Here is a 15,018-nt window from a genome sequence, read left to right on the forward strand (position 1 = left end):
CCAGTCTATCATTGATGGACATTTGGGTTGGTTCCAAGTCTTTGCTATTGTGAATAGTGCTGCAATAAACATACGTGTGCATGTGTCTTTATAGCAGCATGATTTATAATCCTTTGGGTATATACCAGGTAATGGGATAGCTGGGTCAAATGGTATTTCTAGTTCTGGATCCTTGCGGAATTGCCACATTGTCTTCCACAATGGTTGAACTAGTTTACAGTCCCACCAACAGTGTAAAAGTGTTCCTGTTTCTCCACATCCTCTCCAGCACCTGTTGTTTCCTGACTTTTTAATGATTGCCATTCTAAGTGGTGTGAGATGGTATCTCATTGTGGTTTTGATTTGCATTTCTCTGATGGCCAGTTGATGATGAGCATTTTTCCATGTGTCTGTTGGCTGCATATGTGTCTGTTGGCTACATAAATGTCTTCTTTTGAGAAGTGTCTGTTCATATCCTTTGCCGACTTTTTGATGGGGTTGTTTTCTTCTTATAAATTTGAGTTCTTTGTAGATTCTGGATATTAGCCCTTTGTCAGATGGGTAGATTGCAAACATTTTCTCCCATTCTTTAGGTTGCCTGTTCACTCTGTTGGTAGTTTCTTTTGCTGTGCAGAAGCTCTTTAGTTTAATTAGATCCCATTTGTCAATTTTGGCTTTTGTTGCCATTGCTTTTGGTGTTTTAGACATGAAGTCCTTGCCCATGCCTATGTCCTGAATGGTATTGCCTAGGTTTTCTTCTAGGGTTTTTATGGTTTTAGGTCTAACATTTAAGTCTTTAATCCATCTTGAATTAATTTTTATATAAGGTGTAAGGGAGGGATCCAGTTTCAGCTTTCTACATATGGCTAGCCAGTTTTCCCAGCACCATTTATTAAATAGGGAATCCTTTCCCCATTTCTTGTTTTTGTCAGGTTTGTCAAAGATCAGATGGTTGTAGATGGGTGGTATTATTTCTGAGGGCTCTGTTCTGTTCCATTGATCTATATCTCTGTTTTGGTACCAGTACCATGCTGTTTTGGTTACTGTAGCCTTGTAGTATAGTTTGAGGTCAGGTAGCATGATGCCTCCAGCTTTGTTCTTTTGGCTTAGGATTGGCTTGGCAATGCGGGTTCTTTTTTGGTTCCATATTGAACTTTAGTTTTTTTCCAATTCTGTGAAGAAAGTCATTGGTAGCTTGATGGGGATGGCATTGAATCTATAAATTACCTTGGGCAGTATGGCCATTTTATTGATTCTTGATTCATCATTGATTCAGTATGGCCATTTTACGATATTGATTCTTCCTATCCATGAGCATGGAATGTTCTTCCATTTGTTTGTGTTCTCTTTTATTTCACTGAGCAGTGGTTTGTAGTTCTCCTTGAAGAGGTCCTTCACATCCCTTGTAAGTTGGATTCCTAGGTATTTTATTGTCTTTGAAGTAATTGTGAATGGGAGTTCACTCATGATTTGGCTGTTTGTCTGTTATTGGTGTATAAGAATGCTTGTGATTTTTGCACATTGATTTTGTATCCTGAGACTTTGCTGAAGTTGCTTATCAGCTTAAGGAGATTTCGGGCAGAGACTATGGGGTTTTCTAAATATACAGTCATGTCATCTGCAAACAGGGACAATTTGACTTCCTCTTTTCCTAATTGAATACCCTTTCTTTCTTTCTCCTGTCTGATTGCCCTGGCCAGAACTTCCAACACTATGTTGAATAGGAGTGATGAGAGAGGGCATCCCTGTCTTGTAATGCTTCCAGTTTTTGTCCATTCAGTATGATATTGGCTGTGGGTTTGTCATAAATAGCTCTTATTATTTTGAGATACATCCCATCAATACCTAATTTATTGGGAGTTTTTAGCATGAAGGGCTGTTGAATTTTGTCAAAGGCCTTTTCTGCATCTATTGAGATAATCATGTGGTTTTGTCTTTGGTTCTGTTTATATGCTGGATTACATTTATTGATTTGCATATGTTGAACCAGCCTTGCATCCCAGGGATGAAGCCCACTTGATCATGGGTAGATAAACTTTTTGATGTGCTGCTGGATTCGGTTTGCCAGTATTTTATCTTCTCTCATTCTTTTGAATCTGGTTCAGTCAGAACTTGCTCCCATTATTCTGCCAAAACTATTATTGTGAAGATTACCAGTAATCTCCATTTTGCTAATAATGCCATTTTTAACTTAGGAAGCACGATTTAGGCCGAACACGGTGGCTCACACCTGTAATCCCACCACTTTGGGAGGCCAAGGCAGGGAGATCACCTGAGGGCAGAAGTTCAAGATCTGAAGGGGTGGCCTGCCCCTCCATACCTGTGGGTGTTTCTCGTCAGGTGGAACGAGAGACTGAGAAAAGAAAGAGACAGAGACAAAGTGTGGAGAAAGAAAAGTGGGCCCAGGGGACCGGTGCTTACTGGTCTCTGAGTTCCCTCAGTATTTATTGATCATTATCTCTACCATCTCGGAGAGGGGGATGTGGCAGGACAATAGGGTAATAGTGGGGAGAGGGTCAGCGGGAAAACATGTAAACAAAAGTCTCTGTGTCGTAAACAAGGTTAAGAAAAGGTGCTGTGCCTTGATGTGCACGTGTACAAACATCTCGGTGCATTAAAGAGCAGTATTACCACTAGCATGTCTCTCCTCCAGCCCTAAGGTGGTTTTCTCCTATCTCAGTAAATAGAACATACAATTGGGTTTTACACTGAGACATTCTATTGCCCAGGGACGAGCAGGAGACAGATGACTTCCTCTTATCTGAACTGCAAAGAGGCCTTCCTCTTTTACTAATCCTCCTCAGCACAGACCCTTTTCGGGTGTCGGGCTGGGGGATGTCGGGCTGGGGGACAGTCAGGTCTTACCCTTCCCATGAGGCCATATCTCAGGCTATCACATGGGGAGAAATCTTGGGCAATACCTGGCTTTCCCAGGCAGAGGTCCCTGTGGCCTTCCACAGTGTATTGTGTCCTGGGTACTTGAGATTAGAGAATGGTGATGACTTTTAACAAGCATACTGCCTTCAAGCACTTTTTTTTAACAAAGTACATCCTGCATAGCCCTTTGGTAAATCCATTAAACCTTGAGTCAACACAGCACATGTCTCTGTGAGCACAGGGTTGGGGCTAGGGTTACAGATTAACAGCATCTCAAGGCAGAAGAATTTTCTTGGTACAGAACAAAACGGAGTCTCTTATGTCTACTTATTTCTGCATAGACACGGTAACAGTCTGATCTCTCTTTTCCCATTTCCCCCTTTTCTTTTGGACAAAACCGCCATCGTCATCATGGCCCGTTCTCGATGGTCGCTGTCTCTTTGGAGCTGTTGGGTACACCTGCAGACTAACAACAGACAGAACAGGCACACAAGGATTAATAGGAAATTTACAATAGTAGAACTTCCGATGGTCTTAACCCAAGTGACAGGGTTAAGATTTGTGAGACCATCAGCAACTCCATGATTGCCTCAGTTCCTGGTACCAAATTTAATGGGCTTTGATCCTTCAAAAATTTGTTCTTTTAATTTGGAAATGTCTAAAGTGAGATTATCTTTTCTTCCCTGTAGACGGCATCTAACCATGTCCCAGTGATGCTCAGACTCATTATAAACTCCAGGTGTAATACAAAAATCTGACGTATTCCAGTCACACTGTAACTGGAAATGATGTTCTAAGCTCATGAGCCTATCTCCCATCCAAATGACAGTCTAAGATCATTAATTTGATTTGCCAATTTTTGATCAATACCAGATTGTGAATTCCACCATCTTGTAGAATTCTTTTGCCAATCATTAACAAAGTTTACTGTCCGAACAGAAGAGTGCAATGCAACTCCTGCCACAGCGGCTGTAGTTGTGACTGCGATTAATCCCATAATCACTGCAATTAAAGTAAAAATGAATCTTTTGGATCTATTTAAAATGACTTTTAATACTTCAGTCAAAATATGGATGGATGGCGAGGCCTCCCACTGTCGGTCCATGGACACAGGGATCCACACGCCTTCCCTTGCTCTCACTAGCAGAATACGGTGCTGCCAATTGAAAGTTGAATCAATGCAAGTAAACAATCTGCAATTTTCACAGGTTATATAGTTTGGGAGTCTGGTTTAATAACTATATTTCCTACAACTAGCATATAAGGGCGCTTTATACAACTTTGTAAAGAAACCGTTAGACTTGAATTTAGGTCGATAGTATAAAATGGCTTATGATCTCCTGTTTCTATAGCTTGATTTCCAGATCAAATTCTAATGCGGTATGAGGCCACAGTAAGCCTCCATAATTCTGGATGTTCAGGACCAGAAACAGGACTTATTATTTTTGGTCTTGGAGTAGAGATTCCTTTTTCTCCCCATTCCCAAGGGTAGAAAGACTGTAATTTTTTGTGCTTATGTTTGTCTAAACTTTCTGTTAAGTCACTATCAACAGTTGGACTCACTTGTGCACTGGGACATGACTGAGTTTGTCCTGTGCAATTGTGGTAGAATTGACCTCGAGGTGCCCAATCTATAATAGTTCCAAATTCATCATTTTGTAATATCACCACACTATTGGCCACACATTCTTCCTAAACTAAAACTTCTGTGTCTTTTGATACCTTGGGAATTTCCGTGGGGCAAGGTTTCCCTTTAGGCCTACATTTTAATGATCTTTGATAAGAAAAGTCCTGTAAATAATTTACCTGTGGCCTGAGTGACATTCCGCTTACCATGTGATAAGTGAATCTACTGGTGGTACAGTAAGTAAGTACTTCTACCAACCAATTTTGGATTGTAGGCATTAAACATCCTGGTGTTCTCCCTAGACAAATAGGAGGATAACGATACCCAGTAGAAATATTTATCGTCATTCCTTCTTCCTCAGGTTTGGCAGGGCAGTGATCATCTGTGGGGCCAGGTACCCATACACTGTTATTAACATATACTTCAATAGGATTATCCATCCATGCGACTGCCCGAATTAAGGGCAGGAAAGGCACACAGGCCCAGTAGGTATAATTAGCTGCAGCTGCTCCTACAGGCATGGGGAGACTTACCACCATTGATACAATCATCAAAGCTGCAAGCAGCATACTCTCTGGAGTTTGTGTCACCTTTGTGTTCTCAAGGCCTTTTTTAGCTAACTGTGTCAGCTTCTTTAATTGTGCCCAAGTCGGCGGCTCTGCCTTCTTGGTGAATGGCAACTTCATCTATTCTTCTGACATCACCATTTTATCTTGTGAGTTGATGGTGCTTGATTGCAGTGTTTCTGTCTCCGTGGAGGTGCTTTTCTTTGCATCTCCGACAGGTTCATTGTAGAACTTCAAATGTCTAGTTGGTATCCAAACAGGAAGCTGATTTTCTCCTGGTGAAACACAAGCAAAACCTCTCCTCCACGTTACCACCTTCCCTATTTCCCATGTCTTATTGTTGTTGTCTTTCCACCAAATCAGTTTTCCTTCATGTGGGCTATTCTTTTTTTTACCAGTAAGATGTTGTTCTGCAGGAGTAGTAGTCTGATTTCTATAAATGTTTAAAAAATTTAAAGTATAGAGTGCTAGATTAAGTTGCATCTGAGGAGTGGTACACTCCTTACTGTCTCCCCCTTCTTTTTGTTTAACTAATTGAGTTTTGTGTGTTCTATTAGTTCTTTCAACTATGGCCTGTCCTTGGGAATTATAGGGAATTCCTGTTGTATGTGTAATTTTCTTGGAAAGCTTTACTACAGTATCCTGGTCCATTGTTAGTTTTAATTTTTTCTGGAACTCCCATTACAGCAAAATAAGATAATAAATGTTTTTTAACATGGGAAGTACTTTCTCCTGTCTGGCAGGTTGTCCATATGAAATGTGAGTAAGTATCAACTGTTACATGAACACATGATAATCTTCCAAATGAAGGTACATGCGTGACATCCATTTGCCATAACGCATTAGGACACAGACCTCTGGGATTAACTTCTGCCTCTTGAGTGGGCAGGTGTAGGACTTGACACTGGGTGCAATGTTGTACAATATTTTTTGCCTGTTTCTATGTGACATCAAATTTGTTTTTTAATCCTGCTGCATTTGCATGAGCCAAAGCATGAAGTTCTTGTGCTTTTATGAATGCAGATGATACCAGTAAGTCAGCTTGTTCATTTGCTTTAGTCAAAGGCCCTGGTAAATTAGTGTGTGCTCGAATATGAGTAATATAAAATGGGAAATTTCTTTTTCTTACAGTTTGTTGTAATAAATTGAATAGCTGGTTTAACTGATCATCCATGCTATATTTGATTAGAGCTGTCTCAACATCCCTTGTAGCCTGTACTACATATGCAGAATCTGATACAATATTGATAGATTGATCAAAATCTTATAACACTGTAATGACTGCAACCAACTCTGCTCTTTGAGCCAATTGATACTGAGTTTTGATTACTTGCTCTTTTGGCTCTGTGTAAGCTGCTTTTCCATTGTTGGAACCATCAGTATATACTGTCAGAGCATTTTCTAAAGGTCCGTGACTGGTAATTTTAGGTAAAATCCAAGTAGTCAATTTTAAAAACTGGAGGATTTTTGTTTTTGGGTAATGATTATCAGTAATTCCCACAAAATCAGCAAGACCAATCTGCCATGCACCAGAATTGATAAAGGCTTGTCTAACTTGTTCCTTGGTTAAAGGGACAACTATTTTGTCTGGGTCATTTCCACACAATTTTATTATTCGTAATCTTGCCTGACCAATTAATGTAGCTATTTGAGCCAAGTATAATGTAAAAGTCTTAATTGTACTGTGAGGAAGGAATGACCACTCCACAAGATCAGTATTTTGAACAATGATGCCTGTTGGAAAATGTGCAGTAGCAAAAATCAAAAGTTGGAGTGGGGCTAAGGGATCTATTCTATTTATTGCACTGACTGAATTTTTTCTTCCACTAATTTAATTTCTTTTGTTGCCTCTCGGGTTAATATTCTTTTACTATTTAAGTCTGGGTCTCCTCTTAAGATAGAGAACAAATTTGACATGGCATAAGTAGGAATACCTAGAGTTGGCCAAATCCAATTAATGTCTCCTAGCAATTTTTGAAAATCATTTAATGTTTTTAATGTGCCTTTTCTTATTTCTATTTTTTGTGGCTTAATTTTTTTATTTTCTATCTGCATCCCTAAATAATGAAAAGGAGTAGAGGTTTGAATCTTACCAGATGCTATTGCCAGTCCTGCGTTGGCAACCTCTGCTTGCAGAAATGTGTAACAGTCAATTAATTTGTCTCTCGTTTCTGCAGCACATCAAATATCAACGTAATGAATAACAGTCTGAAAACTTATCTCTAACTGGTTGAAGAGCTTGACCTACGAAAGTCTGACAAATAGTTGGACTATTAAGCATTCCCTGAGGTAACACTTTCCACTGAAACCTGGTGGCTGGTTCTTTATTATTTATGGCTGGTATAGTAAAGGCAAATTTTTCACAATCCTGCTCCACCAGAGGAATGGTAAAAAAGCAATCCTTCAGATCAATTATAATTAAAGGCCAGTCTTTTGGGATCATGGCCGGAGAGGGCAACCCTGGTTGGAGATGCCCCATGGGTTGAATTATGGCATTTACGGCCCTTAAGTCAGTTAACATTCGCCATCTGCTGGATTTTTTCTGAATTACAAACACAGGAGAATTCCAAGGCGAGAATGAAGGCTCAGTATGTCCGTTTTCTGATTGTTACTTTGCTAATAAATGTAAAGCCTCCAGTTTTCGTTTTGGTAGCAGCCACTGATTTACCCATACAGGTTTTTCTGTTTTCCAAGTTAATGGAGTGGGTTTAGGAGGATCTACAGTGGCCGCCCCTAAAAAGGATACCCTATTGCTGCTGTTTCTTGATTTCCCTCAATCTCAATTGGGACTTTAATGCCATTTTCATTTTTTCCTAGTCCCTTTCCTGGTATATATCCCATCTTAGTCGTGATTTTTTGATTTGTGGGGCTATATAATGGGGCAGGCATAGTGATTTCCTCACCCCATTGTTGTAATAAATCTCGACCCCACAGATTAACGGGAATTGAAGTAATCATTGGCTGAACAGTACTTTCTTGATTATCTGGCCCTAAGCAATGTAAAATCTCAGCACTTTGATACACTTCTGAGGCAGTGCCTACGCCGACAAGTCCTGTAACAGCCTTTTGTTTAGGCCAATTTTTTGGCCACCGATTGAAAGCAATGATAGAGACATCTGCTGCAGTGTCTACCAACCCCTCAAACTGTTTTCCTTGAATAATGGCCTTACACACAGGTCTGCTCTCTGAGACCTGACTTGCCCAATATGCAGCCTAGCTGGATCAGTGCTTCCAAACCCTCCTGTTCTTTTTATCTCACTGTTTTCAACCTTAATATAAGGCAGGAATAATTAAGCAATCCTGTCTCCTGGACTGGCACTCCAAGGAACTGAGGAGCTAATAACCAATTGAATTTCGACTTTGTAGTCTGAATCAACCACACCAGTATGAATTTGAACTCCCTTTAGATTTAGACTCGATCTTCCTGAGATTAGTCCTACAGTCCCCTCAGGCCGTGGGCCATATATCCCTGTGGGGATTTTTTTGTGGGGGCTCCCTGGAAGCAGAGAGACTGCTTGTATAGTACACAAATCTACTGCTGCACTGCCGCTTGTGGCCGGGGACAGTTGCTGTATTGTGGTAACTGGCCCATTCCCTGAAGCACTTGTGACAGTGGGGGTTGTTGTCCCTGAAAACCCTGAGGAACAAAGGGCTAAATTGGGAATGCCCCAGTTTGTTGCGGGGCCTGAGGCTGGCCCCTCTTCTCGTTTCCCGACAATGGTTGCCCATTTTTATCAAATTTAGAATGACATTGACTAGCCCAATGTTTTCCTTTTTTACCTCTTGGACATAAGTCAGGTGGCTCTTTATCTGTTCTTGTAGTAGTTTGAATAGTTATATTTTGTTTATTTGAGGCTGGGCAATTCTTTTTTTGATGACCAATTTGTCCACAATTATAACATTTTCCCCTAAATGTTCTAACTTGTCCTCCTAAAGCAAGTCCCGTTATTGCTTGAGCGATAAGCATAGCTTTATGCATAGCTCCTCCAATTCCATCACAGGCTTTTACGTACTCTTGAGATTACATCTGATCCCACTGGGACCTTTCCTTTTAATGGTTTAATGGCTGATTGACACTCAGGATTGGCATTTTCGTATGCCATCAACTCCACTATGACCTTACGGGCATTCTCATTGGTAATTGACTTTTGAGCAGCATCTTGGAGGCTTGCCGCAAAATCAGGGTAGGGCTCCTTTAGCGCCTTGTCTTATTGTATTGAATGAGGGGCAGGCGGTTCCTGGGTCTTGGCTTTTTTCCCAGGCTCTAAGGCAGATAGGTCTAACTTGCTCAGTGGCCTCATTTTACATTATTGCTTGTTAATTAGTAGTGCTCCAATTTTGACCTGTTCCTAATAGTTGATCTGCATCTATGTTAACTGGAGGATTGGCAGCCCTATTTTTTTGGACCTGTTCTTGTGCCCCATCAATCCACCAAGTCTTCACCAAGTCTTAAATTGTAAACATTGAGAGGGTGAGAGCGATCATTTGGCCAAAATCTCCCAATCATAAAGAATGAGTCTATGTCCATGAGCAATGGAATCTAATAATGTCCTCATATAAGGGGAGTTGGGTCCATACTGTTTTACTCCCTCTTTCATATCTTTTAGCATTTTTATGGAAAAGGACTCATATCTGGCCTCAGCTAGGGGAGGCGCTCCCTCTTGGGCCTCTTCTTCAGGTGGTATCGGTTCTAATATTACTGGGAATTGCCATGCCTCGGTATCTCCTTGTTTTCTTGCCTTATCAATAATTTTATGTAATGCACTACCCTGTCCACTAGGTGGTGGTGTAGGATTAAATCTCATAGTGGGCTGCTGAGGATATAGCGCCCTGCCCTGTGGTGCTGGAAACATTCCTGGCTGTCCATACTGATTTTCTGGGGGCGGCTGATCCTGAAGTTCGGCTGGCGGCCAGTATTGATAGGTTACTGGCGGTTGGGTCTTATTTTCCACCGGCTGATATTGTGGATACTGTATTTGGATTGGCATTGCCGTGACAGAGACTCTATCTTTCCCTATTTGATATTCTTTTGGGGTTTGTACTTGTCTAACCTGCATTTGAGGTTGTAATGTTACAGGCATCTGAACTGCTGGGAGAGGAGTTGGCCATCGTGGTTTAGACTCTGATGGCCCCACTAATTCTGGACCTTTTTCTTCTAATTTTAACATTTCAGGATATATCACTTCCTGTAATTGATTATAGTCAACATTTTGCATTGACCGAACCATTACCGGCTCTGCTACATATTTACAATGTGAACTTTCCGTTCCTTTCCCAGATTCTATCCCTGCCTCTTCTTCACAATCTATTACACATTTTCCAGGGCATCAGAAACTGAAATGCTATCTTCTCCTGTTTGAAACAGTTCTAAAGCTACTTTAATAATGGCCCAATCATTCCATACTGTAAGTGGGATGATTTTACCCTCCCTACTTGCTTGTTTTAATTCTTTGCCAATTTTTTCCCAATCTTTTAGATCTAAAGTTCCCCGTTCTAGAAACCATGGGCAGAATTGTTCTATTGTTTGAAATAGAGTGATTAGATTTTTTTTGTAGAGACTCTGACTCCCCCTCTTTTTAAAAGAATTTTAATGGAGCTAAGAGGCATATTTACTTTTAGTTTGTCCCATTGTTACCCTGGCTTCTTCTGAGCGCACAAGTTTACCGCAAAGGGTGACCATAGACGTACTCAGGAATCTCTCGTTGACTTGTCCTCATTGACCACGCTCGAGCGTACCTTCACCCTAGAGAAAAGCACCTACGTTGGACACCCGATGAAGGAGTGGCCTGCCCCTCCACACCTGTGGGTGTTTCTCGTCAGGTGGAATGAGAGACTTGAGAAAAGAAAGAGACACAGAAACAAAGTATAGAGAAAGAAAAGTGGGCCCAGGGGACCGGCGCTCACCATACGGAGGACCCGCGCCAGCACTGGTCTCTGAGTTCTCTCAGTGTTTATGGATCATTATCTCTACCATCTTGGAGAGGGGGATGTGGCAGGACCGTAGGGTAATAGTGGGGAGAGGGTCAGCAGGAAAACATGTGAACAGAGGTCTTTGTGTCATAAATAAGTTTAAGGAAAGGTGCTGTGCCTTGATGTACATGTATACAAACATCTCGGTGCATTAAATAGCAGTATTGCTGCTAGCACGTCTCACCTCCAGCCCTAAGGCAGTTTTCTTCTATCTCAGTAAATAGAACATACAATTGGGTTTTACACTGAGACATTCTATTGCCCAGGGACAAGCAGGAGACAGGTGCCTTCCTCTTATCTCAACTGCAGAGAGGCCTTCCTCTTTTACTAATCCTCCTCAGCACAGACCCTTTACGGGTGTTGGGCTGGGGGGCGGTCAGGTTTTCCCTTCCCACGAGGCCATATCTCAGGCTATCACATGGAGAGAAACCTTGGACAATACCTGGCTTTCCTAGGCAGAGGTTCCTGTGGCCTTCCACAGTGTATTGTGTCCCTGGGTACTTGAGATTAGAGAATGGTGATGACTTTTAACAAGCACGCTGCCTTCAAGCACTTTTTTAACAAAGCACATCCTGCATAGCCCTAAATCCATTAAACCTTGAGTCAACACAGCACATGTTTCAGGGAGCACAAGGTTGGGGGTAGGGTTACAGATTAATAGCATCTCAAGGCAGAGGAATTTTTCTTAGTACAGAACAAAATGGAGTCTCTTATGTCTACTTCTTTCTACATAGACACAGTAAGAGGCTGATCTCTCTTTCTTTTCCCCACAAAGACCAGCTTGGCCAACATGGTGAAACCCTGTCTCTACTAAAAATACAAAAAAATTTAGCCAGGCATGATGGCACACGCAGGGATTCCCAGCTACCTTGGAGCTGAGGCAAGAGAATTGCTTGAATCCAGGAGGTGGAGGTTGCAGTGAACCGAGATCACACCACTGCACTTCAGCCTGGGCAACAGAGCAGGACTCCACCTCAAAAAAAAAAAAAAAAAAAAAAGAATGCACCATTTCGCCTCATCTCTCAGCATTTGACATAACCGATCATTCCTTCTTAAAACACTTTTTTTGGAAAATATGGGTGGAGCCAAGATGGCCAAATAGGAACAGCTCTGGTCTACAGCTCCCAGCATGAACGACGCAGAAGACGGGTGATTTCTGCATTTCCATCTGAGGTACCGGGTTCATCTCACTAGGGAGTGCCAGACAGTGGGTGCAGGACAGTGGGTGCAGCACACTGTGTGCGAGCCGAAGCAGGGCGAGGCATTACCTCACTCAGTAAGTGCAAGGGGTCAGGGAGTTCCCTTTCCTAGTCAAAGAAAGGGGTGACAGACGGCACCTGGAAAATTGGGTCACTCCCACCCTAATACTGCGCTTTTCCAACGGGCTTAAAAAACAGCACACCAGGAGATTATATCCCACACCTAGCTCAGAGGGTCCTATGCCCATGGAGTCTCACTGATTGATCTCAGACTGCTGTGCTAGCAAACTGCAAGGCAGCAGCGAGGCTGGGGGAGGGGTGCCTGCCATTGCCCAGGCTTGCTTAGGTAAACAAAGCAGCCTGGAAGCTTGAACTGGGTGGAGCCCACCACAGCTAAAGGAGGCCTTCCTGCCTCTATAGGCTCCACCTCTGGGGGCAGGGCACAGACAAACAAAAAGACAGCAGTAACCTGTGCAGACTTAAACGTCCCTGTCTGACAGCTTTGAAGAGAGTAGTGGTTCTCCCAGCACGCAGCTGGAGATCTGAGAACGGACAGACTGCCTCCTCAAGTGGGTCCCTGACCCCCGAGCAGCCTAACTGGGAGGCACCCCCCAGTAGGGGCAGACTGACACCTCACATGGCCGGGTACTCCTCTGAGACAAAACTTCCAGAGGAACGATCAGGCAGCAGCATTTGCGGTTCACGAAAATCGGCTGTTCTACAGCCACCGCTGTTCTGCAGCCACTGCTGCTGATACCCAGGCAAACAGGGTCTGGAGTGGACCTCTAGCAAACTCCAACAGACCTGCAGGCGAGGCTCCTGTCTGTTAGAAGGAAAACTAACAAACAGAAAGGACATCCACACCAAAAACCCATCTGTACGTCACCATCATCAAAGACCAAAAGTAGATAAAACCACAAAGATGGGGAAAAAACAGAGCAGAAAAACTGGAAACTCTAAAAAGCAGAGCACCTCTCCTCCTCCAAAGGAATGCAGTTCCTCACCAGCAACAGAACAAAGCTGGATGGAGAATGACTTTGATGAGTTGAGAGAAGAAGGCTTCAGACGATCAAACTACTCCCGAGCTACAGGAGGAAATTCAAACCAATGGCAAAGAAGTTAAAAACTTTGAAATAAAAATTATACGTATGTATAACTAGAATAACCAATGCAGAGAAGTACTTAAAGGAGCTGATGGAGCTGAAAGCCAAGGCTCAAGAACTATGTGAAGAATGCAGAAGCCTCAGGAGCCGACACGATCAACTGGAAGAAAGGGTATCAGTGATGGAAGATCAAATGAATGAAATGAAGCAAGAAGAGAAGTTTAGAGAAAAAAGAATAAAAAGAAACAAACAAAGTCTCCAAGAAATATGGGACTATGTGAAAAGACCAAATCTATGTCTGATTGGTGTACCTCAAAGTGACAGGGAGAATGGAACCAAGTTGGAAAACACTCTGCAGGATATTATCCAGGAGAACTTCCCCAATCTAGCAAGGCAGGCCACCATTCAGATTCAGGAAATACAGAGAACGCCACAAAGATACTTCTCGAGAAGAGCAACTCCAAGACACATAATTGTCAGATTCACCAAAGTTGAAATGAAGGAAAAAATGTTAAGGGCAGCCAGAGAGAAAGGTCAGGTTACCCACAAAGGGAAGCCCATCAGACTAACAGCTGATCTCTCAGCAGAAACTCTACAAGCCAGAAGAGAAGGGGGGCCAATATTCAACATTCTTAAAAGAATTTCCAACCCAGAATTTCATATCCAGCCAAACTAAGCTTCATAAGTGAAGGAGAAGTAAAATCCTTTACAGACAAGCAAATGCTGAGAGATTTTGTCACCAGCAGGCCTGCCCTAAAAGAGCTCCTGAAGGAAACACTAAACATAGAAAGGAACAACCTGTACCAGCCACTGCAAAAACATGCCAAATTGTAAAGACCATCAAGGCTGGGAAGAAACTGCATCAACTAATGAGCAAAATAACCAGCTAACATCATAATGACAGGATCAAATTCACACATAACAATATTAACTTTAAATGTAAATGGGCTAAATGCTCCAATTAAAAGACACAGACTGGCAAATTGGATAAAGAGTCAAGACCCATCAGTGTGCTGTATTCAGGAAACCCATCTCACGTGCAGAGACACACATAGGCTCAAAATAAAGGGATGGAGGAAGATCTACCAAGCAAATGGAAAACAAAAAAAGGCAGGGGTTGCAATCCTAGTCTCTGATAAAACAGACTTTAAACCAACAAAGATCAAAAGAGACAAAGAAGGCCATTACATAATGTTAAAGGGATCAATTCACCAAGAAGAGCTAACTATCCTAAATATATATGCATCCGATACAGGAGCACCCAGATTCATAAAGCAAGTCCTGAGTGACCTACAAAGAGACTTAGACTCCCACACAATAATAATGGGAGACTTTAACACCCCACTGTCAACATTACACAGATCAGCAAGACAGAAAGTTAACAAGGATACCCAGGAATTGAACTCAGCTCTGCACCAAGCGGACCTAATAGACATCTACAGAACTCTCCACCCCAAATCAACAGAATATACATTTTTTTTCAGCACCACACCACACCTATTCCAAAACTGACCACATAGTTCGAAGTAAAGCTCTCCTCAGCAAATGTAAAAGAACAGAAATTATAACAAACTGTCTCTCAGACCACAGTGCAATCAAACTAGAACTCAGGATTAAGAAACTCACTCAAAACCACTCCACTACATGGAAACTGAACAACCTGCTCCTGAATGACTACTGGGTACATAATGAAATGA

General features: G+C 42.1%; 1 protein-coding gene across 22 annotated transcripts in view; it reads left to right on the top strand.

The window, feature by feature from the left end:
- Positions 1 to 15,018, top strand: part of ZNF420 (zinc finger protein 420) — a 122,467-nt gene that overhangs the window by 96,472 nt on the left and 10,977 nt on the right. Inside the window, exon 1 of one of the 22 annotated variants that reach the window (XM_017026338.2) lies at positions 7,252 to 7,338. The exons of the other annotated variants lie outside the window; for them this stretch is intronic. The gene's annotated coding sequence lies outside the window, so the exon portion shown is untranslated. Of the gene's footprint in view, positions 1 to 7,251; positions 7,339 to 15,018 lie in introns of those variants that run through there. 22 annotated transcript variants of the gene reach the window in all.

This window comes from Homo sapiens, chromosome 19 (genome assembly GCF_000001405.40).
Source record: "Homo sapiens chromosome 19, GRCh38.p14 Primary Assembly".
In the NCBI taxonomy this organism is placed as follows: Eukaryota; Metazoa; Chordata; class Mammalia; order Primates; family Hominidae; genus Homo; species Homo sapiens.